The following is a 26,684-nucleotide window of genomic DNA, read 5'->3' as shown; positions in this document are numbered from 1 at the left end:
GCGTTTTCTGAGGGTTAGCTTGGCAGGCTTCCGTGCTGACCTTGGATGGCTTAATGAAGTTGGGAGAGGCTCCATGCCAGCTCCCCATTAACGTGGCCTTTGAGAGAGCCTCAGGGGCTCCCAAATCTTTTGGCTTGCTCAGGCCCAAGGGTAGAGGAGGTGAGCCAGGCAAGGGAGAAAACAATAGCTTCAACGGCACCAAGATGCTGTGTGACCTTGGATGAGTCACATCCTCTCTATAGGTCTTGGGTCCCCCAGCTGTAACGGGAGGGCATTGGGCTGGGTGATTCCTCCCAACTCCCTGCTGTACTCATTCATTGGAAAACATGTATTGAGTGTCAAGTATGTGCCAGGCACTCTTCTAGGTGCTGAGGACATAGCAGCAAACAAAACAAAGCATCTGCCTTGTGGAATAGAATATCCCCAGCTGGGGGAATAGAAAGAATGTGGGATTTAGAACCAGAAGACCAGAATCTTTTGCCACTGACTTCTGAGCCTCAGTTTCCTCATCTGTAAAATGGGGCTGTTCTGAGGCATCAGTGAGATAGTGGATGTAAATGTTCTTGGTAGTAATCTTATGCAATACTTATTTAGCACCTACTGGGTTCCAAGGCATGGACATAATCAATAATTCTCATAATCCCTTCATAAAGAGGGATAATGGTGGCAGGTGAAGGCTCTGGAGCTGGACCGGGTCCAAATCGCAGCTCTGCCCCTTCCTGTGTGACCTCAGACAAGCTGCTGGGCCTCTCTGTGCCTCAGGTTCCTTTCCCATAAGACAGGTAATGATGATACCTGGATTATAGGGTTGCTGGGAGGACAGAGTGGACTCGAACTTGCGCAGTCCTTAGAACAGTGCCTACTGCATAATAAGTGCTCAATACAGGGGAGTTATGAGCTGTATGTTATTATTATTCATTTCATTTCACAGGAGAAAACAGATTTTCAGTTCTTGTCTGAGGTCACTCAGTAAGGGAAGCTGAAGAAAATGTGGAAGGAGCCCCCCACGGTGGCTGGACCCAGCATCAGGGGCTCTCCCCATCTCCTTTAGTCCTCTGAACCCAGAGAGGCTTAGCTGAACTGCAAGCTGAGGCCAAGGGATTTACAGCTCAGAAATCCCCATTTCTGAATGAGTCTGACTGAGTATCCATGCACATGTGTGTAAGTGTGAGTGGCTGTGCACACATCTGAGCATCCACAATAGGCATTGCCAAGAAGGACACACCATATGATTCCATTTATATGAGGCTCAAGAACAAGCAAAATTCAACTATAACAAGAGAAATCAGAACAGTGATTGCTTTTGGAGGTATTGACTGGAAGGGAACCCGAGAGAACTTCCTGGATGATGGAAATATTCTGGACCTTAACTGAGTTGGTGGGTACACAAGTGTATCTATTTATCAAAAGGCACTGCACTAAACACTTAAAACTTGTGCATTTTATTATGTGTAAGTTATACCTCAATAAATAAAGGAGCACTGGGAAAAAATAATAAGAGATCTAATTTACTGAGGAGTAATTAACCACATGCCGGGCGCTGTTCAAGACGCCTTACAGGTGTTCTGTAATGTAATCCTAACACAACCCCATGTAGCATTGCCTGTTATGTACATGCATGTACTCCATCCTGTGCGTATGTGTCTGAGGCTGCTTCTTAGCCGGCGTATGAGTAGTTCACAGAATGCATATGCACACGTGACACTGACTCATTCCTATACTTGGGGGCTAAGTGGGCACGTATGAGGGTGCACGTGTCCACAGATTTGTCCACGGGAATAGATTTCTGCCAGCACCTGTTTGCTCCCCTCAAGAGCATTAATGAACCGTGCTTCATGCGCCGTGCTGGCTGGTAGTTAGATGCTAACAGCATGCATGCAGGGGCCCTGGTCTGTGTAGACAAATCAAGCACTGTTATCAGACAATAATGGCAGGGGATCGACAGCCAGCCGCCTGTGCCAGGGAGGGGTGGGGACGCATGAGCACTGGGCAATTAGCATCTCTAAAGGGTGTCTCTGCTGAATGGTGGCTAATTTGCCGACATGGCCCCATCAGTCAAACTCAGCAGTCACTGAGTGGGGAATGCCGGGCCTCTCCAAAGATTTGTGAGTTGCTGCTGTTGGTGCCAGCTTTTGCACTGGGAGCAACTCATACCTTAAGACCTCACCCTTAAGAGGATAAGGGTGAACAGAGCCTGCCTGCCCACAACAGAGCCTGCCTGCCCTCTGACCTCTCCCCACCTCTGAGGATGGTTGGCCTTGTGAGCTTGGGATGATGTGGAGGCTCGGAGAGGGCAAGCAACCTGTTTAGAGTCAAACGGCCAGTGGGCCACCAACCCAGGAACTGAGCTTGGGTTTCCAGACTTGCAGGCATTGTACATTTCTCAACACCATCACTCACTCACATGACACAGTATTCACAATATTTTTGCCATTTCTTTTCACCAAAGGTACTATTAGTTTCTTGGTATTTTCCCTCAAGTGACTCTCTTTTTAAATTTTTAAAATTATTTTGTTTTATTTTTACTATTATTATTTTGATGCGGAGTCTTGCTCTGTCGCCCAGGCTGGACTGCAGTTGCACGATCTTGGTTCACTGCAACCTCCGCCTCCCAGGTTCAAGCGATTCTCCTGCCTCAGCTTCCCGAATAGCCGGGATTACAGGCGTGCACCACCACGCCCGGCTAATTTTTGTATTTTTAGTAGAGATGGGGTTTCGCCATGTTGGCCAGGCTGGTCTCAAACCCCTGGCCTCAAATGATCTGCCCGCCTCGGCCTCCCAAAGTGCTGGGATTACAGGCGTGAGCCACTGCGTCCGGCCCCTTTTTAAATTCAAATGTTTATTTTAAAAGGAAGCTGCCATTAATGGAAAACCAGTATCTGATACCCATAAGTTGAAGCAGGGGTGACCAACCACCCTTGCCTCCATTCACCTGTGAACTTTCAGTTTTAAAACCTAGATGGTTCTGGCAAACTGTATGGAGTTAATCACCTTAAATTGAACACAGGGTTAAAAATGAATACCACAAAAATAAACTAGGTTATTAAACTCGAACTGGCAGCTCTGAGCCTGGAGCCTGTCCTTACCTGTGCTGAAGGCGGAGCTCCATTAGAATGCTGGAGCTTCTCTTTCCGGTAGTCCCATGACAAGTCCCAGGGTTCACTCTGATTGGCTTGATTGGGGTCACATGCCCAGACTCTGCCAATCGTTGTTGCCAGGGGAATGCACCGTTCTGATTGGCCAGACCTGGAGCCAGAGGTGAGGCCAGGCTACAAGCCACGTGGCTTGAGAGCTGGGAAGGGATAGTTCCCCCAAAGGGTGAGATGGTTTGTTGCTAAAAAGAAGCCCCCTCTTCCTCCAGGTATGAGCAGCAGGTGACTCCTCTGCCCTTGCAGGAACAATGTCCTCTTGCTGTCCCAGGCTCTGGCTCCCAATCTGCCTCCTGCTGCCTGTGTCTCTTCCCCGCTCTGGTCCTCAGTCTCCTCATTTGTGAAATGGAGGGTTGTGCTGAATGATCTCTAAGCGTCTTCCAGGCTTTGATGTTATGTGATTGGTCTTCCCTGGGATGATTATTACTGGAGTTTGGTGGTGGCTGTTACTGTTTTACTCCCTCCCACTTGCCCAGAGATAGATGAGAAAAGAGAAGGTCTTATAACATGGTGAGAAGAGCATAAGGCATTTCCAGGTTCAAATCCCAGCACTGACAGTTTCTGGCTGTGAGATTTCAGACAAGTCACTTCACTCTCTGAGCCTCAGTTTCCTCATCTCTAAAATGGGAAGAACAATAGTATCTATGTAGAAGAGTCACATTGAGGATTAAAACTGGCAATAAGTCTAGACTGTTGGGGTGTATTTGGGTCTTTTGGGGTGTATTTGGGTGCAGGAAACTGAAAGTCAAATGAAACTGGCATGGACAATAAAGGGCATTTATTGGATAGTGCAACTGAAAAGCCCAGGCAGTGTGTAGCAAGGGTAGGGAGGGGATCATGATGTCATCATTGTGTCAAGGATTTACTCTGCTTTGTCCTCCTCTGTGAGCCAATTTTTCTCTTGGGCTGGCTCCCCTCATGGGAGTCCCAAAGGCTGCAGCATTTCTAGGCGTCACACATGCACTCTACGTTATCCAGAAGAGAAGGGAACTCCCAGCATTCCTGGCCAAAGCTCAGAAGTCAATAAATTGGCTTAGCTTGAATCACATGCCCCACTCAGCAAGCTCTCTAGCTGGGGGATGCCATGTGCTGACTGGCTTATCCCTGGGGCAGGGGGCAGGGTCAGCTTCCTCAGAACCACAGGGATCCCCACGGAGTGGTTGGGAAGGGCCCCTGCATGCTGGGAATGATGCAATCAAGCATTGAGGATCACCAGCGACTCTAGCGCTGAGGCTCTGAAAGGGCTTTCCAGACATCTCCTGTCCCGAGCTATCATTTTACACAAGGGGGACACTGAGGCTAAGAGACGGGCTGATTTCAGGAGGGTGTCACTTGGAAAATGACGATCAAGATCTGCCTTGGCTGATTGCTGTAAGACCCCAGTGAGATGAAAATAATGCTTTGAGAAAGAAGGAAAGAAAGGAGGAAGGACTCAAATAGATCACAGACCTACTAGGTGCTAGATTTTCTGTACCTGTCATGTCATTTAATCCTCGTAGCCACCCCGGGAAGCGGGTTTTGCCATTACTCCCAGTTTACAGAGGGGAAATGTGAGGCTGAGAGAGCTGAGGTCACTTGCCTAGGGTCACACCCTAGGAAGCAGTGCCAAAGGGCTGCGAAGCTAGTTGTGTACGATTCTGGTCCAAGGACACTTGCATTTAGTGTGCACCTACTGTGTGCTAGGTGCTTCCCAGGCCACCATCTCTTATGTGAGTGCTCAGTGGGTCTGCCCATAGCGGGGGATGTGTTCTCAGGAGAGAGCAGGGATCCCTTCTTGGCCACCAGAAATGGTCCATTTTTCAAGTTGTCTTTACCAGTGGAGACTCTATGACTTCTTTCTTGTTCTTTCTGTAACCTGGTCCCCTCCCCAATCCCGAACATTTTCTGGCCTGGCAGCTCCACTAAGAGTCTCGAATCTTCCAGGTACCTGTACCCAGCCCTGGGACTGGATGAGGAGGTTCTTCTGGAGACACCCAGGCCTTTGTGTCCCTGGGCCCCAGGGCTCCGTCCCACCCCTGGCTGCCCCCTCCTGGGCCCCTCCCCAGCACTGGTTTTGTGCCAATGTTTGGGCTGCTACAGCCCTGGCCAGGCTCGAAAAAGGAATTATTTCTGTCTCTTGCATAGTTCTCAGCCCAATTCCCAAAATGGGAAGTGGCCTGGGAGGGCCGCCCAACCCCCACTCCAGTGGAGGAGGGAGGCGAGGAGAACTTGGCAGAGCTGAGACACACACACACACACACACACGCACACACACACACACACACAGCTCCTTCTCTAGGCCTGTGGCCTGTAGAGGGAGGCCAGGCACTTCAGAGGGAGATGAGGGATGGCTCTTGGAGTGGGGTGCCTCTTCCCTCCTCTTCCAGAATGCTTTCCCTGATTGTTGAGGGGCTGTATCAGGCTCTTGAGAGGGGTGTTGGGACCCCCGGTTATTCTGTGAGCTTAGGACCCCCATTTCTTAACATTCCTCATAGCATCCAGTGTTTGTCTCTGCCCAGCCTGGATGTCTGTCATAATGGCCAGCTGCATCACTGGCCAGAAGGTAGGTTGGTTCTGACGGACACTGACTGACTGACTTGTCCACCGCAAGTCTGAGAGCCTGACAGACAGGATAGCTGACTGACTGGATGAATGGCTGTGCCTGCCTGCCTGCCTGCCTGCCTGCCTGCCTCCATGTCTGACTGAATGTCCCTCTCTGAGACAGAGAGACTCTCTCCCTGTCTACCTGGCTGCGGCTCTTGTACCTGACTAATTAGATGCAAAACAAATTGCCTTTCTCTCCATCTCCTCATTCAAATGCCTGTTGGAGTGTCTGTCTGTCTGTCTTCCTGGGTGTTTGGCTGGCTGTAATTAGATGAGTAACTAAGACTAGCTGTCCATCTCCTGTCTGACTGACTGACTAGCTGTCTCTATAGCTGACTGACAAGATGGCTGATGGACAGCCTGTCTGTCTGTCTGTCTGTCTATGTCTGTCTGTCTGCCTGTCTGTCTGCTGGGTATCTATTGTATCTGACTAACAGATGAAGAAGCCTGTCTGTTCATCTCCTCCTCTGACTGACTGACCGTCTGTCTGTCAGCCTGCTTGTCTGACTGCAGGCCTGATCAAATGGCTGAGTGACGGCCTGCCCATCTGCCTGTCTCTACGTCTAACTGACAAGATGACTGTCAGGCTGATCACCTGTTTCCCACCTCGGTATCCGAATGACCAGCTCACTGGATACTTGACTCTTGACTCTCCTAACTAGACACAACTCCCAGGCTGTCCTAGATGGTCGGAAGGGCATGGGTGACACCCATCTGGAAGCCCCCACCCAGCCTCAGCAACCATGCCTCTCCCCTCCCTCCAGGGCTCCCTGGCCCAGAGGAGCAAAAGTCCTTTCCCTGCCAGAGCAGGGAGGGGGAACTGAGTGGAAACCTCAACGCCTGCCCATGTGTTCATGTTTCACATGTTTGCACTGCCTGGAGATGGGGGTGGAGGGTGAGCCCTGTGTTCCTCATCCATCCTGCACCCCTGTTTTCAGGGGTCTTAAGGGGGAAACATCCTTCCCCAAAGAGGCCACAAGGACTCTCCCAATATGTAAGGCCCTACCCAGGCCCTGCAATCCTGGAAAGCACCTTGGGGAACCATTTCAAACTCTTCACCCCTGTGTTGCTCAGACACTGGGGCAGATTCCCAGAACAGGGGCCAGGTCTGGGGCAGCCAGCCACCGGTGGGAGCACGGGCTCCCTGGTCAACATCAGCAGACGTCCACCACCTCCACCTGTCAGGAACTCCACAGCCCTTCAGAAGGAAGCCAAGCTGGGGAGAGTGAGTAACACTTTGCCGGGAGGGAGGGCACAGTCCTTCCTGCTGGCTGCATTTCCTCCTGATAATAGAATTCTGCCCAGCTGCTGGGCTGGCTGCTGTCTGACCTCCCTTCTTAAAGACAGAATTTGCTGATGAATTTTGTTTCAGGAGAAATATGTGTGTGAATGGGGGAAGAGACGAGACAGAGAGAAATAGGAAGAGTTTGGGAGCCTCTAGATGAAAAGCAGCATCTCGAGAATTTAGCTCTGTCTAAATCATGCCTTCCCTGTCTTTTTTAGAGCCCTGTAGGTCCCCCAGATGGGCCCCGGGGATGACAGGCTGGGTGACCTCTGCACAGGCCAGTGGAATCACTTTAAGCTCTGGGGAAAGGTGGGAAGAGGGCATTCTGGGAGTCTCTGAATCCCTGGGCAGTAGACAGCAGCAATTGGAGATGGCTGGGCATCTGAGGCCAGGGCTGAACTCAGTGTATGACTAGGGTTAGAGATCAATATGTGACAAAGATTATGGTTCACCCTAGGACCAGATTATGGTTGACTCTATGGCCAGGATCAGGGATCAGTCAGTGAGGAGTGCCAGGACTCAGTGTCTCTCCAGGGTCAAAGCTCAGTCTGTGTCCTGCGTCAGAGCTCAACCAGTGAGCAGGGTCAGGACTCAGTGTGTGATGAGGGTCAGGGCTTATCCTTGACAAGGATCAGGGTTCAGTCTGAGACTGAGGTCAGTACATGACCTGGGTCATAGATCACACTAGGAGTTAGTCTGTGATCAGAGTCAGGGATCAGTATGCAACTAGGGTTAAGGATCAGTGTGTGACCAGGGTCAAGGCTTAGCCTAGGACCAGGGTTATGAAGGAATGTGCGGCCAGGGTCAAGATTCAGTGTGACCCGGGTTAGGACTCAGTTTGTGGCTCATTCAGGGGCTGGAGTTAGAATCAATCTGGACACTTGGGCTCTAGGAGTAACCCAGATTCTTATGCCTGAAGGACAGGCAGACGGGGGACCAGCGTATACCTGGCTGGCTCCTGCTCCCCCTCGTCCCCTCTTCTACTTGGGCTCCAAGGGCAAAACCAGGACACTTTAGGAGCCCCTGGGACAGGGGAAGATTGGAGAGTGTCCTCCAATCCTTGCATGTTCTGCTGCAGCTGGGGCCAGAGAGGGTCATCCTCATGTCTGGGGAGGACAGGGAGACAGAGGACTGGCTCTGATAAGCAGGGAAGAGGAGAAGAAAGTCATGAAAGGAAGTAGTTATAAGTATGGCATCTGTAGCAGAATACCTGGGTTTGAATTCTGGTTCCGCCACCTACTAGCTGTGTGGCCTTCAGCAAGTTACTCAATCTCTCTGTGCCTTGACTTTCTCATCTCTAGAATGAGCATAAAAATAGTATCCATAGGGTTGTAGTAAGGATTCTAAGTAAGTTAATACATGTAAAGTATTTACAGTGTGCCTGTTGGCTGTATGTATTCCATCAATTTTAGCTGTTTTTGTTTGCTCTGAAGCCATGGAGGGGTCCAACCTTGTGAACTGCCCAGGCTTGAGGATAGAGGGCTGGAGCCCAGGCTCCGATCCCTGGGCAACTCCCTAGACCTGCAAGCCTCCCCTCTGTTAGGTTCCGATGCCATCATAATCCCCAACTGTTGTAACACTAATGACATTTGCAGTTACTTCTCTGATTCCTGTGTCCCCCCACCTAGAGCACCTGCTCCTGAGGACCAATATTTTTATCTTTCTTGCTCACTACGTATCTTCAGCACCTAGCAAAGTACCTGGCACACAGTAGGTGCTCAAGAGACAGTTAATAAATGTTTTATTACTATGATAATAATAAAAGCAACCATTTGCATTGAGCCAAACACTGCTCGTTGCTTTCTCTCTCATTTTTTTAATCCAGTCTTTTAAAAACTGATCATTAAAATAAATGCATTCAGCCGGCCACAGTGACTCACACCTGTAGTCCCAGCACTTTGGGAAGCTGAGGTGGGTGGATCATTTGAGGTCAGGAGTTTGAGACCAGCCTGGCCAACATGATGAAACCCTGTCTCTACTAAAAATACAAAAAAATTAGCCAGGTGGCGCACACCTGTAATCCCAGCTACTCGGGAGGCTGGGAGAATAGCTTGAACCCGGGAGGCAGAGGTTACAGTGAGCCGAGATCGTGCCACTGCACTCCAGCCTGGGCAACAGAGCAAAACTCCATCTAAATAAATAAATAAATAAATGCATTCAACAGTAAGACTAATTCAAATACCAGAGGGCATACAATGGAAAGACAGAAATCTCACTCCCACATCTCCAGGCTCAGAAGAAGCCATTTTCTTGCACGTCTTTATATTAGGTTGATGCAATTGCTTTTGCACCAACCTCCATGGAAATAGGAGTTTTGTTTTATCCACACTGTATTCCTCCTGCTTACTCCAGTTCCTGGCAAGCAGTAGGTGCTCAATAAGGCTATGTAGAAAGATTATTTTTATTTCTAATACCAATGGGATTATGTCATATATACTGTTGGGTACCTTACTTTTTAACTATTAATAAATGAATAAGCCACCGGGCGCGGTGGCTTACACCTGTAATCCCAGCACTTTGGGAGGCCAAGATGGATGGATCACGAAGTCAAGAGATTGAAACCATCCTGGCCAACATGGTGAAACCCATCTCTACTAAAAATACAAAAATTAGCCAGGCATGGTGGCGTGCGCCTGTAGTCTCAGCTACTTGGGAGGCTGAGGCAGGAGAATCACTTGAACCCGGGAGGCAGAGGTTGCAGTGGGCTGAGATTGCGCCACTTCATTCCAGCCTGGGCAACAGAGCGAGACTCCATCTCAAAAAATAAATAAATAAATAAGCCTTAGAGATCTTTCCATATCAGCAAAAACTAGATTTACCTCATTCATTTTAATGGCTGCATAATCTTTCATGGCTTAGATGTACCATACATTATTTAACTAGACTCTTCGTGGATATAGTTTTTGGTTTTGTTTTTCTTCACCCATCATGACAATACTTTATTTAAGTATCACACCTCAACTCTACAAGGGTTAACTCTGATTTTGGCTGAGAAGACTGCATCTCAGAGAATCTAAAGCACTTGCCTAAGGTCAGAGAATCTCAGCACTTGCCTAAGGTCACTCAGCCAACCTCCAAGCCCATTCCACCACCCAAGCTTTTTCTTTGCTGCCCGCCAATGCCCCTCGCTGAGTTGTCCCATCGCCAGCCTCAGAGAAGGCTGCCCTGCGACGCTTCTATCGCCTGCACAGGGCATTGCCCTCTTGCAAGGTTCTTCTCTAGGCCTTTGTCAGTGTCTTTCCAGAGCCTGAAGCAGGCTCAGAAGGGTTAAGAATCAGCTGGGTGCGGTAGCTCACATCTGTAAGCCCAGCATTTGGGAGGCCAAAGTGGGTAGATCACTTGAACCGAGGAGTTCAAGACCAGCCTGGCCAACGTGGCAAAACCCCGTCTCTACAAAAAATAAAAACATTAGCCAGGCATGGTGGTACATGCCTGTAATCTCAGCTACTCAGGAGGCTGAGACACGAGAATTGTTTGAACCCAGGAGGTGGAGGTTGCAGTGAGCTGAGATCGCACCACTGCCCTCCAGCCCAGGCAGCAGAGCAAGACTCTGTCTCAAAAAAAAAAAAAAAAAAAAACCCAAGAGTCCCCAGATGGGCCTAGAATCCACATCTCCAGAGCTGTGTTAAGATAGTTCTCAGCTGGAGGTGATTTTGACCTCCAGGGGACGCTTGACAATGTCTGGGTCATTTTGGTTGTCATACCCAGGGGGCATCTAGTGGGTGGAGGCCAGAGATGCTGCTGAACATCCCAGAATGCACAAGGCAGCCCCCTACCTGAGTGAGCCAACCCAAAACGCCAATAGGTCGAGGTTGAGAAATGCTCGGTGAAGGGCACAGATTCTTGCACCAGACTTCCTGGGGCCAAATCCTGGCTGCCGCTTACTGGCCGAATGACCTCAGACAAGTTGATCGATCTCTCTGTGCCCCTGTTTCCTTATCTGTAAAATGGGGATAAGAGTAGCCCCTCTCTTCCAGATTAGATATGTAAATCACTTTGGAAAATACTCAGTATCTGAAACCATAACTGGAATATTTGTCCTCAGAATCTGGCTGTCAGAGCTGGGAGAAGATGTACCCTACAGAGAAAACAGGGCAGCGGACTGCTGCCCCACCATGGCCCAGCCTCCCCCAGGGAATGTGACCTCAGTCCACAGATAGAAGTAGATGCCCCTGACGCTGCTGACCTCTGCTCGGTCAGGAATAGAGGAAAAATCGCTGTTTCCATTTTGAGGTCTGAAAAGCAGCTCCCAAGATACCCTCAGACTTGGGGATTTTCAAGAAGCCTAACATTAAAGGATTTTAGGAACCAGCAACTCCAAGCCATCCATTTGACAGGTGGAAAGACTGAGGCCCAGAGAGAGGGTAAGGGGCAGGACTTGCTCACACAGCAAGGCCATGACAGACCTGAGCTGGGACGCGGCCCAGGACAAACACGGGCCTCCCCACAGCCCAGCCCAAAGGCTCTTCTCAGGTACAGACCAGCGCCTGGGTCAGATTCGTTCTTCCCTCTTTTCTGAGAGTCTCTGGAATCCAGGCTGCCTGAAAAGCAATGTCATGTGTTTACAAGCACAGCTTTGACATCAGACAGACCCTGGTACAAATCCCCATCTCACCAGTTGCCTGTGATGACTTTGGGCAGGCCATGTACAATTCTCTGAGCCTCAGCAAAATGGACACCATCTAGTTTGTTGTTGAAAGGATTAGAGACAACGTGTGGGTACACTCCCACATTGCTGGTGGAATGCACGTCAGCCAGACTTCTTTGCAGGGAAATTTGACAAAATCTAAGAACACTGAAAAAGCATCTGCCCTTGCATTCAGCAATTCTTCTGAAGACAAACCCTCACATGTGGGATATGAACAATGTCCCTGTTTTGTCTCTGCAGTATTATCTGTGATAGCAAGAAGTTGAGAACGACCCACACCAAGAGGGACTTGGTGGAACACTCTAGGGAGCATCTGTACAAGGTCTTAGACACATTCATTTAAAAGTTCAGGGCAGCTCTGTGTGTACCTATTTGTAACAACCTTCAAGATATATTGTTAAGTGAAGACGTAAGATCCTGAAGGGTAGGTGGAGTATATGCTACCGTTTTTGTGGGGAAGAAAGAACATAGATAAATACAAATGCTTATTTAGGCACGGTTTCAGTTAAGAAGGCATGTAGCTGCAAGGATGAGAAAAATCCAACAGACGATGGCTTGAGCAAACACAGTAAGTCCAGAGCCGGGCAGCGCAGCACTGGTGCAGCTGCTGAAGGACTCAAGCATCGTTCTTTCCTTTCCCCATTCTGAGTACGTGTCTCTGATCCTTACGGTCTCAAGGTGGCTGCTCCTCCACCTCCAGGTATCAAGTCCACATTCCAGGCAGAATATATATATATATTTTTAATTGAGATGGAGTCTCACCCAGGCAAGAAATTTTTTTTAAGGGCAAAGGGCAAAAGCAAAACAAAAACACAAAAGTCTTCTTTTCCGGGCACTTTGACTTTTGAGGGAGTGAAAAGAAATTCCCTGCCCAGGGACTTCCACCTACATCTCGCTGTACAGACCAGGTCACATGGCTGCTGCTAACTGCAAGGGAGTCAGGAATGTGAGTGTTTTTATCTGGGCATATGGCCACCTGTGAGCAAAATTGGGGTTCTGTTAGCAAGGAGGAGGTGGAGGCTGGATACTGGGTGGGCAACTAGTAGGTTCTGCCATTCCTAGTCCGTCACTGGAAAGATCCCTAAGAAACAAAATAGTAGTCACTTCTGAGGCAGAGAGCTGGTTGACAGGGGACAGGGGCGGGAGGAAGATCCCCCTTTTTAACTGTGTACCCTTTTGTACCTTTTTGATTTTCAAACTGTGTGCAGGTACTGCCCTTCAAAATTAATATAATTTATATAAAAAGTGAAATTTTTAAAAACTCAATGCAGGCTGAGCACAGTGGCTCACGCTTGTAATCCCAGCCCTTTGAGACACCAAGGCGAGCCAATCACCAGAGGCTGAGAGTTCAAGACCAGCCTGGCCAGCATGGTGAAACCCCCGTCTCTACTAAAAATACAAAAATTAGCTGGGTGTGGTGGCACATGCCTGTAATCCTAGCTACTTGGGAGGCTGAGGCACGAGAATCACTTGAACCTGGGAGGTGGAGGTTGCAGGGAGCCGAGATCACGCCACTGCACTCCAGCCCAGGTGACAGAGTGAGACTGTGCCTCAAAAAATAAATTAAATAAAATAAATAAATAAATAAATAAAAGCACAGTGCATACAAAGATGCCTGGAATATAACATGCACTCAATAAAACTGGCTTTCCTTCTTTTATCACCTGGCTTAGCATCAAATGCACATTGAATTCTCAGCTCTGCTACACCTAAGTTTTGTGACCTTGGGCCTGGTTCTCCAGCTGTCTGTGCTTTCATTTCCTCCTGGATGCGTTATGAGATGCAGGTCAAGCATACTGTTTTAGTGGCTGTCAGGAGAATTCCTCCCAGGGGCCCACTTTTGTTGAGGAGATGGCTTCTTAAGACCTGTTGAAATGGGAGAGCCCCATCGGATGTGGGTGGATGGGGCCAATGTTTCCCAGAAAGGGAGCTACCTACCCAACACCCCTTACGCTAGCCACGTGATAATAACAGAAGCCAGGACGGGGCACGGTGGCTCTCACCTGTAAGCCCAGCACTTTGGGAGACTGAAGCGGGAGGATTACTTGAAGCCAGGAGTTCAAGACCAGCCTGGGCAATATCACAAGACTCTGTCTCTAAAAAAAAACAAAAACAAACAAACAAACAAAAACTTAAAAATTAGTCTGGTGTGGTGGTGCGTTCCTGTAGTCCCAGCTACTCAGGAGGCTGAGGCGGGAGGATGGATTGGGCTCAGGAGTTCAAGGCTGCCGTGAGCTATGATCGCACCACTGCACTCCAGCCTGGGTGACAGAGCGAGATCCTGTCTCTAAAAGAATAACAATCTGCAGCCATAAAAAAGAACGAGATTACATCCTTTGCAGCAACATGGATGCAGCTGGAGGCCATTATCCCAAGTGTATTAATGCAGAAACGGAAACCCAAATACCACATGTTCTCACTTATAAGTGAGAGCTGAACATTGGGTACATACGGACACAAAGATGGGAACGATAAGCACTGGGAAGTCCAGAAAAGGGGAAGGAGGGGAGGGAGAGGGGGAAAAGGATTGAAAAACTACCTGTTGGGTACCACGTTCACTGCTTGGGTGATGGGATCGTTAGAAGCCCAAACCTCCGCATCACAAAATATACCCGTGTAACAAACCTGCACATGTACCCCCTGAATCTAAAATGAAAATAAATAAATAATAGGAGTGAACATTCATTGAGTGCCAACCATGTGCCAGGCACTGTTCTAAGTGCTTTTACATACATTAACTCATCTAACCTGGAGAAGAATCTTACAAGGTGTTTACTACTATTGACTCTTCTGTTAAGTCTGCCAGAATGATAACATGTTTGATGGGTTGAGTTTCTCATGGAAATCGGTGGCAGAGGCTGAGACAGCATCCAGATGGATTCAGGACATTTGAACCCAAGGGACAGAAGAAGCAAGGACCCCGGCATTTATAGCGTTCTGGGGAGGGGCTGTGATTGACCTTGGCGATTGGGAGGCATTCAAAGACTGTTCATCAGGTAGGAAGCTTTTGATCTCAGCTGACATCTGGGTCAAGTTAAATGGCAATAAAAATCCCTGCAAGTGGAGGTTCCATGGATAGAATTGCTAGTCCACAACTAGCATCTGACCACTTCACACCTCCGCCTCCACCCCCTGGCCGAGCCCCCTTCGTCTCTCACCTGGTCTATTTCAGTAGCCTAGTCACTGGTCTCCCAGCTTCCATCCTGCCCACATCCACCCCACAGTCCATTCTCCACTCACAGCCAGAGAGATTTGGTGCAAACCTAAGTCAGAGCATGTCCCTCTTCTGCTCAAAGCCCTCCACGGCTCCCACTTCACTCAGAACCAAGCCATGGGTCTCGGCAGAACCTCCCTGGCCCTCCAGGGTCCAGCCCCCATCAGTTCTCCCTCCTTACCTCTTAGCTTCCTCTGGCTCAGTGCTCCCACCCCAGGGCCTTTGCACTTGCTATTTCTCCTGTTGCAAATACTCTTCCACCCAATTTCTGTGCCCCACCCCACCCAATCTCTTCATTCAAGTCTCTGTTCAAAAGCTACCTCCTCAGTGTGTCTTCCTTGGACCACAGTGCCTCTCCTCCATCTAAAGCAACTCCAGTCCTGGCCAACCCTAACCCAGCCCGCTTTATTTTTCTTAAAGTCAAATTGCGCTTTTCATATTTCGAGTCAAATTGCACTTGTATCTGTTCCTCTGTCTCTTCATGGTTAGCTTCCTGAGCAAGCAGAGATTTTGTGCTCTTCACTTGGCTCATATTAGATGCCTTACAAATGCATTTTATTCAAATCCATACACACATATACATATAACAGCTTTATTGAGATATTATTGAGATGTACAATTTACCCATTAAATTAAAGCTACAATTTACCCCCATTAAAGTGTACAATTCGATGGTTTTTAGTACATACACAGAGTGGTGCAACCATCATCATAATCAATTTCGGAACATTTTTATCATCCCAAGAAGAAACTCCTACCCCTTAGTAGTCACTCTCCATCTCTCCCCACCTCCATCCCAGCCCTGGGCAGCCACTAACCTAATTGTTATCTCTCTACATTGCCCTATTCTGGACACTTCATGTAAATGAAATCACACAATAAGTGACCTTTTGTGTCTGGCTTCTTTTGCTCAGCATAATGTTTTCAAGATTTTATATCCATGTTGCAGCATGCGTCAGTACTTCATTCCTTTTTATGGCTGAATAAGCTTCCATTATGTGGATATACCACATTTTGTTTATCCATTCATCAGCTGATGGACATTTGAGTTGTTTCCACTTTGGGCTATCATGAATAATGCTGCTATGAACATTTGTGCACAAATTTTTATGTGGACATATGTTTTTCTTTCTCTTGGTATGTACCTAGAAGTGGAATTGCTGGATCATATGGTAATTCTATGTTTAACCTTTAGAGGAACTCCCAGACTGTTTTCCAAAGTGATTTTGCCATTTTACATTTCCTCCAGCTATATATGAGGGTTCCAGTCCCTCTACATCCTTGCCAGCACTTGTTCTGTCTTTTTTATTCTAGCCATCCTAGTGGGTGTGAAGTGGTATTTCACTGTGATTTTGGCTTGCATTTCCCTGATTGTTATCATAGTATTTCTTGACAGAGTGGATTGAATGACATGCTGTCAGGTGAGAGTCCACACAGCAGTCTGAATGGCTGAGCCCCCTCCACCGCCCTCCAGGCCAGGACCAGGCTGAGGTCTAGAGCCCAGGTGATCGCTAGGAAGGATGCTCTCTGAGGCTGGGCAGCCTCCCAGGTCAGGCCAGGTGGTTGGACTAACCTTCTATGCCATCTGGTGGCCAGTAGCCAGCTGGGTGTGAAAATCCAAGGTGGGCACCAAGTTATGGCACCTTAGCCGAGCCTGGGCTGTTGACTGGCAGCTGTGGCCAGATTTGCAGGCCGGGCTCTAGGAACTGTGATATCGCTGCACTCCCTCACCAGCTCACAGTGCCTTTGCAGGGTGTGGCCTCCTTTCATCTGCTCCTCAGCCTTTGCAAGAGCTGCTGTTACCTCTTTTTTACAGGTGAGGAAAGGGAGACTCAGAGAGGTGGCTTCCTGGCCCCAGGACACACAGCATCCCTGCCCACCTTTCCAAGATTTGTGTGTACATTCTACAAATACCTATTGAGTGTCTTTGATGTGCTGAGCCCTGTGCTAACTCTGGGGTTCCAGAGTGAATAAGACAAAGTCCCTGTCCTCGTGGAGTCCACCCTTCGGTCTGGGAGACAGATAGCACACAAGCAGATAGATATGCACTATAATATCAGGAGGGGACAAGGGCAGTGAAGAAAAGTAAAGAAGAAAAGGAAGGAGCTGAGTAATAGGAGGGGGCAGAGTTTGCAAATTTAGATAATAAAAATAATAATAATACTCAATACTTCTGCAGTGTTTAGTTTGGAGGCTATGCTGGCCATAAGCACCTCCACTTCTGCCAACACAAAAACCATAGGCCAGGAGTAAAATAAAGGATCACTCTTTCTGGGGGAAGGTGGAGGAGGGAGGAGAGAGAGGATCCAGGGCACAGCCCCCTGGAGAGGGATCGTTACCAGGTGCCAAGCCGGGCCCAGTGATCCAGCTTCCACCCTGGTGGGGACAGGCCTCATCTGCCATGGTGGGCCCTGTGTTAGGGGAATGAGAGAATGAACTAGAACTTCTTAGGCACCTACAACATGCCAGGCACTGTACTAGGTGAAGGTGGAGTTGGGGGAAATCAAACAGCATCATCATCACTGCTGTCCCCTCCCCGGCCACTGCCACACCCGTCCTCCCAGCTGCAAGCTAACAACAGGCTTTGTCACGGGTGTGCAACCAGTGCAGTAGTACCAGACGCCCCTCTCAGAAGGGCCCCACACTTTGTTAGAGGCTCTGCTGTCACTGTCATGAAATCCATAGTTTTTGAACAAGGGTCCCCACATTTTCATCTGCACTGGGTATTGCAAACCCCAGTGTGTCCAGTCCCAGCAGTAAAGGAACAAGGAGGCCCCCAACTCCCTCCCCTTGCTGGAGCCCGTCATAATGGCTGCTTTCTTTCCGTTGGAATTTAAAGGCATTATTTGATCCATCTAGTATACTCAAGTGCCTTGTGAGTTTTCTCAGAGGGTCAAGAAAAGCATTTGCTCTTTAGAGAAACCAGGGAGCCCAGGAAGATGATGGGTCAGACCCGAGAGAAGGGTCTGACGGTGCATTTAGCTTGGGGAGCCCATAGGGAGCATTACCAGGGACTCCATCCACTGAGATTTTCAAATACATCACCCGCCTAACTCCCAGGATCCCAGAGCCTCCTGAAAAGGAGGCAAACACCACTTTGTGGCCAAAGCTTTTTCTAATATTATTTTACTTCATCCTGCTTGGGAAGGCATCACCATTATTAGCCCATTTGCAAAGGATGAAACCGAGACTCCATAAGGCAATGCTAATTGCTTAGGGCCCCGTGGTTAGTGGGAGGAGGGGTGGGGAGCAGAAAGTAGGGCCATGTGATGAATTTTGTGGCCCCCGGGCACTTAGGCCTCTCTCCATGAAAAAAAAACAAACATGCTATATTATGGCTACATTGGTATAAAGATGAATATATTAATATCACATACAGTATTACAACATTTTCTTCCTGCTGAAAGTTCTTTTTTTCTTCTAATTATAAAAGAAATTAAAACATTGGAGAAGGGGCCCTAGAGGTAGTGTGAACCCCAGGCTGTGTCTATTGGGCCTAATGGAGAAGTCAGCCCTGGCAGGAGGAGAGGAGAGGAAGAGAAGGAAGATGGAGAGGAGGGAAAGGAGGTAGAGGAAGAAGAGAATGTCTGTGTCGCTTAGCAAAGGCGCCAAGGTCTGCAGTGAAATGCCACAGGCAGCAGCTCAAAGCGTGGCCCTCTGCTCTTAACCCAAGTGTCTGAAGTCTTGGTGCCACCTCCCTCTGAGACACCCTCTCCCTACCCACCCGGCCCCTTCTCTCCCCTCCTACCTACACCTAGTGACCCTGGGAGCTTCATCTGCCCCAGACATCACCTGTCTAAAGCAGGTCCCTGTTAGATCAGATCGGCCCAAGGGCCTTGCGTGGGATGTGTGTCTGCGGCCACACTCTGCCCCGTCACTCCACCTGCCCCCATGCCACTGCCTGTCTTCACAGATTGGACGTGTCCTTCCTGATTTATACTGTCATCCTGGCAGGCATCAACTGGCATGCAGCCAGCAACGCCGTTACCTTTTGCTGCCATTAACGCAGCTATTTACTCCACGGAAAATGACCTTAATTTACAAGGCATTATAACTAATACTGGATGATTACGGTTATTAATATTTATGGATTGACACTCCCAGGAGGGGACCTGGGTGCTAATTGGCACTCCTCTCTGTGCCTCTTTTCTCAATGAGATTTCTTCTGATTTCTGCTGCTGTTCCAGCTCTCAGCCTCTTAGTTTCAAAGGAAAATACCGCACGGTGCCCTGCCTTATTTCTGGCTGATTCTCTTATTTCATTCCCTTATTTCCTTCAGGTTCTGTAGGTAGCCTAGAAACAGGCCTGCTGCCCTAGGGGCTCCTGGGTATTGGGAAAGGTCTGGGGTCCTGGCTGAGGGGAATTTGGCTGTGAGGAGTAGTAAGGAGAGGGAGTCTATGCTTCTACTTTAGAGGACGTGGAGAGAAGAGAGGCATCAGGGAATGTGTACATTTGCCCAGAAACAAAGCACTGTCTCAGACTCCCACACCTTCCTCCATCACTAATCAAAAATGTTCTGGTCTTTTTATATAAGATGGAATCTAAATCAACCCCTCCCAACGCCTCATCTCTGGGTTGGTTGAACAAATGGGGGTGTTTGGGGCATCTGCATTTGGGGCCCAGATTGGAGAAGACAGATCACACTCCCCCTTCTCGCTCTTAGGTTTTGGGGGGTGCCAGGAGCTGATGTTGCCTGGGCTGAGAAGAGAGATGTACTTGTCATCTCCTCTCCTTTTCAGGTGGAAGATGTGTTACAAACAGCAGCATGTTGCTATGGTAACCAAGGTGCTTCCTTCCAAGAGAGAGGGAGAGTGTCCTGCTTGTGGTCCCTGCATGGCCTCACTACTCACGCCTGTGTCCCATCAGCTGGGCTGGGGCCAGGCAGCCCTGTACAAGAGTGATATAGCCAGGAGGGCACTGGGATGAAATGGGGCACTTGTATCCTGACAAAAGGAGCAGCCACTGCCCAACTCCTGTAAATAGCTGCCATGCAGAAAAATGGGCACAATGCTGTCAAACCTTCTGATTACCGAAGAGAAGTGGGAAATTTGGATTAAGGCACACTGTCCCAATTATTTTTATTGTTGGCAAAGAATGCAAATAATAATTTTTTTTTAAGAATTAAACAAACATGGACCAAACAAAACGTGTCCATGAACCGGCCATTTGGGTTGGGCAGTTTGGTAGCCATTTTGCCATCTGAGCAGAGTACACACTCACAGAAGGTGGCCCCACTCAGCATCCTTCTGGGGTCCCAAGGTAAGTGAATCCAGGAAGAAAGCTTTCTAAGGAGATAAGAGGTGGGAAACGCCCAAATTCAGGAACTCGGAACTGTGTTCAGCTGGACCGTGAGTCTCTAAACAATTGTTCAGGATCCACCAGCTGCTGTTGATCACGGGTTAAGAAAGGGGCACATGGGTTCTGGCTGTGTCTGACCCCCTTTCTGAGTGACCTTGAACCATTTTCTCCCCTTTTGTGTGTCTTAGTCTCCCCATCTGTACAATGATAGGACTGAACCAAATGTTTTCTTGGGGTTTCCTCATGTTGACTGATATCCTCCTATACTTATTCCAGAGTCATTGCCCCCAACATTCACTCTGTGTGACTCCCAGGAATTTTCAAAGTTGGGGCTTCAGCCTCCAGAGAGGGTTTCTCCCCATTTTAGTCCCTCATTCTTTGACAACAATGTGTTGAACAACTATGGTAATGGGCATCAAATGGGAATGGGGATGGAGAAGTGAATGGGTCAGGTGAGGTCCCTGACCATATGGGGCTCACATCGACTAGAAGAGGCAGAAAAGAGGGAAGGGCTGCGTTTTTGCTCATCCACGTGGCCAGCTGGTTATTACCTGGATTTATTAACCAGTGTCCATCTTTCAAGACTCAGTTGAGCTGTTACATCATCCAGGAAAGCTTTCTTAAGCAATTCCCCTACGCCTTTCTACTGTGTGCCCCATGACTCAGGATTTTGTTCTAACTGGTCTAAAGCAGGCACTATTGACATCTGAATAATTATCTCTCATGGGGTCTGTACTGTGCACTGTAGGATGCCTAGCAACATCCCTGGCCTCTACCCACAAGATGCCAGTAGCAATGCCCCCAAAACACACACATAATTATGCCACTGAAAATGTTTCTAAACGTCCCCTGGGGTGCAAAATCAGGGCCAGTTGCAAACAGCTGATCTGAGACAATCATGGTGGCCCCATTCCTTTTGCTCGTGATGGTCTGAGTATGAATGTGGGCATGTCTTCACCTGATGGCCAGAGCAGAGGCAGCTATCTTGTGTCCATGAAGTAAGCCAGCCTGGGAATGAAGCCAGTCCTCTGAGGGTGGTAGAGTAGATGGTAGAGAGTCTGGATATTTAACTATGTTGTCAAGTCCCTCAGTGATGGGGTAACCCTATTTCAGGACTTTTGGTTATGTGGGATCATAACCCTAACTGCTGGAGCCTCTTTTGGTTAGCATTTTCTACTTCTTAAACCAAGAGCATTCCTAACTGATAAATCATAAATCATACTTCAGATCTCATCTTAAATGTCAACTTTCTCAGAAAAGCCTCCTCCATCTCCCAATGGAAATTAGGCATCTTTATCATTCTGGACTTTGTTTTGGTAGCATTCATCCCAATTTATGCTTACATTTTGTGTGTCTATTGAGGCCTATCTTCCTTCAGTGGACTGTGAGCTCCATGAGGAGAAGAACCTCATTTTGTCTTTTCTTCCACTGTATCCATTGGCCAACATGGTGCCTGGCATATAGTCGGCTTTTGGTAAATATTTATTGAATTAATGAATGAATAAAGGAAATGGGAAAATAAATGAATGGGTAGATAGATGAGTAGATGAATATATGATTTAATGGATGCATGAGTGGATGGATGAATGAGTGGATGAATGGATGGATTAGTAGGTGGATGGATGGGCAATTGGATGTGTAGATGAGTGGATGGATGGATGGATAAATGGATGGGTGGATGAGTGGATGGATGGATGATGGATGGATGGATGGATGGATGGATGGATGAGTAAATGGATTGATGGGTGAATGAATGGATGGATGGATGGAGATATAAAAGGGTGTGTGTTTGCATCTCTGCCTGTACGCTTTGATGGAAAATTCTCTGCAAGTCTACAAACTCCAAAGTTGAACCTAAAGCATCAGAAGTAAAGGAAGGGCCCCACAAAAGCACCTTATTTAGTGCTGAAGAAGAAAGCCTGTGAAATCACATCATCTGCCTTGAACCCAATGGCAGGCAACATCAGGGTTTTTTGAGAAGTGGCACAGCGTGCCAAGCACTGGAAGGACAGAGTGGAGAAAAACAGCATAGATGTGGACTAGGATCCCTGGGCAGGTGAGGCACTGAGAAAAGATGTTTGGCTTTGTTCACATGAAATCTGATGAAATGTGAAGCACCATTATATCAGAGGCAGGTGGTGATGCTCTGGCTGAAGCCCCCACCAGGACAATGAAGGAGTAAGCTGGGATTTAATGGAACAGATGGGGAAACTAAGGCCCACAGTGTCAAGGAACTTGCTTGGGTTCCCTCGGAAAGTGGCCTCAGGCCTTACTCTGGGTGTGTCCCACGCACTATGATGTAGCTGAGAGAGCCAAAAGCTGTGTGACCCCAGACAAGTCATTTTATCTCTGTGAGCTTCCATTTCTTCACCTGGATAACAAGGGTGATGGTACTACCTCACATTCAGCAAGGTTGTTGCATGGCTTCAGTGAGATATCACAAGCAGAGCACCAGGGCACTGAGTGGTGCCCAGTTATCATGAGTTCATTTTCTTGTCTGTGGTTGGGATATCTGGGAGAGTTACCTGGAGGAGGTATCCTACAGATTCTCAACTCCATAGGAACAAGCCCTCAGGTGAATCCTTGGAGCTGGGGGTTGAAATACTTTCTTGAAATTCTTCCTGGGACATCCAAGAAGACAGCATGGAGCTGTCCATGCTGGGGACCCTTCCTCATTTGTATGTTCCCCCTTCTAAAACTCCCTTGCCATGGAAATGCTCCTCTTGGTATTTTTTTTAAGGGTTTGATTGGGGTATAATTCAAATGCCATAAAATTCACCCATTTAAAATGTATAATTCAATAGTTTTTAGCATATTCAAAAAGTTGTGAAGCCATCATCACATCTAATTTTAGAACATTCTAATCACCCCAAAAAGAAACCCTGTACCCATTAACAGTCACCCCCCATTCCTTCCTCCCCTCATCTCCTGGCAACCAGTAATCTATACTTTCTGTCTCGTTAGGTGTACCTATTCTGGACATTTCTCATAAATGGAATCATACAATATGGGGCCTTTTGTGACTAACTTCTTTCACTTAGCAAAATGTTTTCAAGGCTCGCCCACAGTGCAGCTTGTATCCGTTTTTGTTCCTTTTTATGGATGAATACTACTTTATTGTATGGATAGGCCACATTTTATTTATCTTTCATCAGTTGATGAACATTTGGGGTGTCTCTACTTTTTGGTTATTATGAATAAAGCTGCTATGAATGTATAATTTTTTGCACAGACATAGGTTTTCAATTCTCTTGGATGTATACCTAGAAGTGGACTTGCTAGGTCATATGGTAACTCTTTTGAACATTTTTGAGGACCTGCTTTCTTGTTCCCCTCACTCCAAATGTTGTAGTATAATTAAAGTCAGAGTTGTCCTTGTAGACCAAGGCTTTTACCTCCCAGCTGGACATTTCCAAGGTCTCTTCCTCTACCAAAATTTAAGTGATGCCCCAGCCTGCATCAAGATGACATGGATTCAAATTCAGTCTCTACCTAGGCTGTGTGATCTCGGATAGGCAACTAAGCCTCTCTTAACTTCCATTTCCTCACCTGCAAAATAAGGACAAAAGCAATTCTTGGCTACAAAGACAATCATGACGTTGAAATGAGGGAATGTGTGAGAGAATTCTTTGTGAAAGCTGAAAACAGCAGTAGAGATGTTGTTCATTCATCCAATGTATATCAAGGGCCTATTATTTGCCATGTACTATGTTTTGTGATGGGACACGATGTTGACCAAGACAGATAAGGTACATGCCCTCTGAGATTTTATGTTCTGGTCTTTTTGGTCATAGATTGCCACCAAATGTTCTATAAACCTGAACAAACTATGCTTCCTCTTCAGGCCTCAGTTTTACCATCTGTAAAATGGGTGGGCTGGATCCACCCATTTGCCATAGAATTTCTACTTCTGCTTTCAGCCCAACAGTAAAATGAGCACAAGTGTCTCATACAATGCAGACTTCTAAATTCTGTCCCTCAGGGGATAGCAAGGGTGGGCTCTTCCTAGCTGCTCAGGATAGTCGAAGGGGACAGATCAAAAAAGGCAGTCCGTCTGGGATAGCCATGTGGACGGGAATGAGCTACCTTCCCCCTCACCTCCACGTCTTCTGGAACTTAATGATAACATCATCCCCACGCAGCTCCTGGCCTAATTGGCATGATTCCATTACATCTGCTGGTTCTTTCCCATAACGGAACCCAGCCTGGTGGTCCAGACCCGACTGCTGGGCCACAGCTGAGAAAAGGGCCCCCCGGGAGTGTGTGTTCCTCACGAAGAACAAAGATGTAGGCAGCAGCCTAAAATAGACACGGAAAAACACTGCTTTTTGTTTTCTCCCTGGAAGGGTGGCTGAGTGATTCGCGGCAGGGAACCCAGAAGGTCTGCATTGAAAACACTGTTATTATAAGACAGTCAGGAGGGACTGGAAGCTGCGGGTGCTGAGGGAAGACACCCTCTCTCACCACTGCATGCACTCTGGGCTGGAGTTGGATCCCAGGAGAACCCTGAACCAGACTTAATATCCAGAATAATCCTCACTCCCACTGCCCCACACCATTGCCAACTCTGGCAGGTCCTTTCCCATGGCTCCCTGTTACCCTTAGGATAAAGTCAAAGTGACTTAGCAAGGCATTCAAAGCTCCCCAGGTTCTGGCTTTAAGTGAGTTTACTGGCCTCTTCCCACTGCAGGTTATTCATTGGAAATCCCAGAACTTGTTCTGCATTTTCCTGCTTCTGGGCCTTTGCTTACCCAACACCTTCACCTACCATGCCTGGATGAATCCAGAATCTTGATTCTAACTGATCGTAGCAAAAAAAGAGGAAGGCAGAAGGGACTGATTGGCTTATGTAACTGAAAAGCCCAGGGGTACACGCCTTCAGGCTCAGCTGAATCAAGTTGCTCAAATTATGTTCTAAGGTTTCTGTTTTCCTCCATCACCTGGACCTTTTTTCCTTTGTGTTGGCATCCTCGCAGGCAGCTCCCCAAGTCATAGCAAAAATGGCTCTCAGCAGCCCCAGGCTTGTATCTAACCAGCCCAGCAGCTCCAGTGGGTACCAGTAGTTCCTAAGAGCTCTGTGGTTGACATGCATTGGCCTGGATTGCATCATATGGCCATCTCTGAGCCAACCACTGTGGTCATGAACCACATGCCCATACCTGGAGCCATTTCCTGGGGATCAGAAGAGGGATGGTGCCAGGGAAAAATCAGGGAGCTGTTACAGATAAAGAGCAAGTAGATACTGGGCAGTTAAAAGCAAGTGTTCACAACAATGCCCATAGCTCTGGCCCACACTCAGCCAATTCCAACTTTAAGCAAATTTCACCGGGAAACAAATACCTGGGGGAAGAATGGTTAGAAACTCTTCTGGGCAAGACTCATCCTCTGGTCTTGGTTTACTCACCCGAGAACAAAAAAGGTTAGACTTGAAGCTTTGTCCGAGGTCTTTCCTGCTTTGACATCAAGTGAATTGCAGCAAAACAGCCCTTCCTTGTCTCCCAAATTTCTGATCGAAGAGACCTAGTGAGTCAGATCAAGGAATGGACTGTCATTAAAGGCCAGAAAAAGCTCTTTTTTAAGTTTCCACTTATTGTGTTCTATTTCCTAGGCTCTGTGTTAAGCATTTTTCCAGGTACATTGTTTTGTTCAGTTCGCACATTAACTCTCTGAGATTCCATACTACATGTGAGGAAACTGAAGCTGTGAACACTGAAGTGAGTGAGGATTGCAGCCCCATCGGCCTGACTCTTAACCACTATGCCACACTCTTTCCATCCCAAACCAAAGACCCTTAGAGACCTCGGATTAGAGACTTGGGCTGCAAGCCCAAAGACTCCCATAGGTAGAACATGGCCACATAAATGAATGAAGAGGTCCACATAGGGCCTTTGGCACTGGAATGCTCATGCCTCAGCCAGTTGCTTTTACAGATGCAGAATGCACAGCTTAATATTTTTCTTTGTTTTCTTTTCTTTTCTTTTTTTTTTTTTTTTTTTTTTGAGACAGGGTCTCACTCTGTCTCCCAGGATGGAGTGCAGTAGCATGATCATGGCTCACTGCAGCTTCAACCTCCCAGCCTCAAGTGATCCTCCCACCTCAGCCTTCCAAGTAGCTGGGACTACAGGTACATGCCCCCACACACAGCTAATTTTTGTATTTTTTGTAGAGACGAGGTTTTGTCCTGTTGGCCAGGCTGGTCTCAAACTCCTTGGGCTCAAGTGATCCACCCTCCTCAGCCTCTCAGAGTGCTAGGATTACAGGCATGAGCCACCACACCCAACCTTAGTTTTTCGAGATAAATTGAAAATTTGCATTCTAAAACAAAATCTCTCAACTTTATAACTGTTAGCAACTTGCTCAGTTCTTGAAACACTATGTAAACCAAACAAAACAGGTCTGTGAGTTAGATTCAACTTACAGGCCACCAATTTTCAGCTTGTCTCTCTTTGCTTCGTACGGATGGGGGAAACTAAGTCACAGATATATGTCATATTATACATAATATAT

At 47.7% G+C, this 26,684-nt stretch overlaps 1 protein-coding gene and 1 long non-coding RNA gene across 3 annotated transcripts in view, besides 3 other annotated features; one reads left to right on the top strand and one right to left on the bottom strand.

The window, feature by feature from the left end:
* Positions 1–26,684, top strand: part of KCNB1 (potassium voltage-gated channel subfamily B member 1) — a 119,486-nt gene that overhangs the window by 31,014 nt on the left and 61,788 nt on the right. The gene's annotated exons all lie outside the window — the stretch shown is intronic.
* Positions 4,216–4,727: an enhancer, noted in NCBI's record as "H3K27ac-H3K4me1 hESC enhancer chr20:48064159-48064670 (GRCh37/hg19 assembly coordinates)". NCBI's record gives its function as "activates a minimal SCP1, AML or CMV promoter by ChIP-STARR-seq in primed H9 embryonic stem cells {active_cell/tissue: H9 hESC(primed)}" and the evidence as "EXISTENCE:reporter gene assay evidence [ECO:0000049][PMID:30033119]".
* Positions 4,728–5,237: an enhancer, noted in NCBI's record as "H3K27ac-H3K4me1 hESC enhancer chr20:48063649-48064158 (GRCh37/hg19 assembly coordinates)". NCBI's record gives its function as "activates a minimal SCP1, AML or CMV promoter by ChIP-STARR-seq in primed H9 embryonic stem cells {active_cell/tissue: H9 hESC(primed)}" and the evidence as "EXISTENCE:reporter gene assay evidence [ECO:0000049][PMID:30033119]".
* Positions 5,238–5,749: an enhancer, noted in NCBI's record as "H3K4me1 hESC enhancer chr20:48063137-48063648 (GRCh37/hg19 assembly coordinates)". NCBI's record gives its function as "activates a minimal SCP1, AML or CMV promoter by ChIP-STARR-seq in naive H9 embryonic stem cells {active_cell/tissue: H9 hESC(naive)}" and the evidence as "EXISTENCE:reporter gene assay evidence [ECO:0000049][PMID:30033119]".
* The window catches only part of LOC105372649 (uncharacterized), a 108,687-nt gene continuing 95,331 nt past the window's right edge, over positions 13,329–26,684 (bottom strand). The window contains exons 3-4 of the long non-coding RNA XR_001754659.2: positions 25,582–25,697; positions 13,329–13,761 (exon numbers count right to left, since the gene is read on the bottom strand). This is a non-coding gene — a long non-coding RNA (uncharacterized LOC105372649). The remainder of the gene's footprint in view (positions 13,762–25,581; positions 25,698–26,684) is intronic.

The sequence above is a fragment of the Homo sapiens genome, chromosome 20 (genome assembly GCF_000001405.40).
Source record: "Homo sapiens chromosome 20, GRCh38.p14 Primary Assembly".
In the NCBI taxonomy this organism is placed as follows: Eukaryota; Metazoa; Chordata; class Mammalia; order Primates; family Hominidae; genus Homo; species Homo sapiens.
Note: the sequence above shows the minus strand (reverse complement) of the source record. Positions and strands in the feature narration are given on the sequence as shown.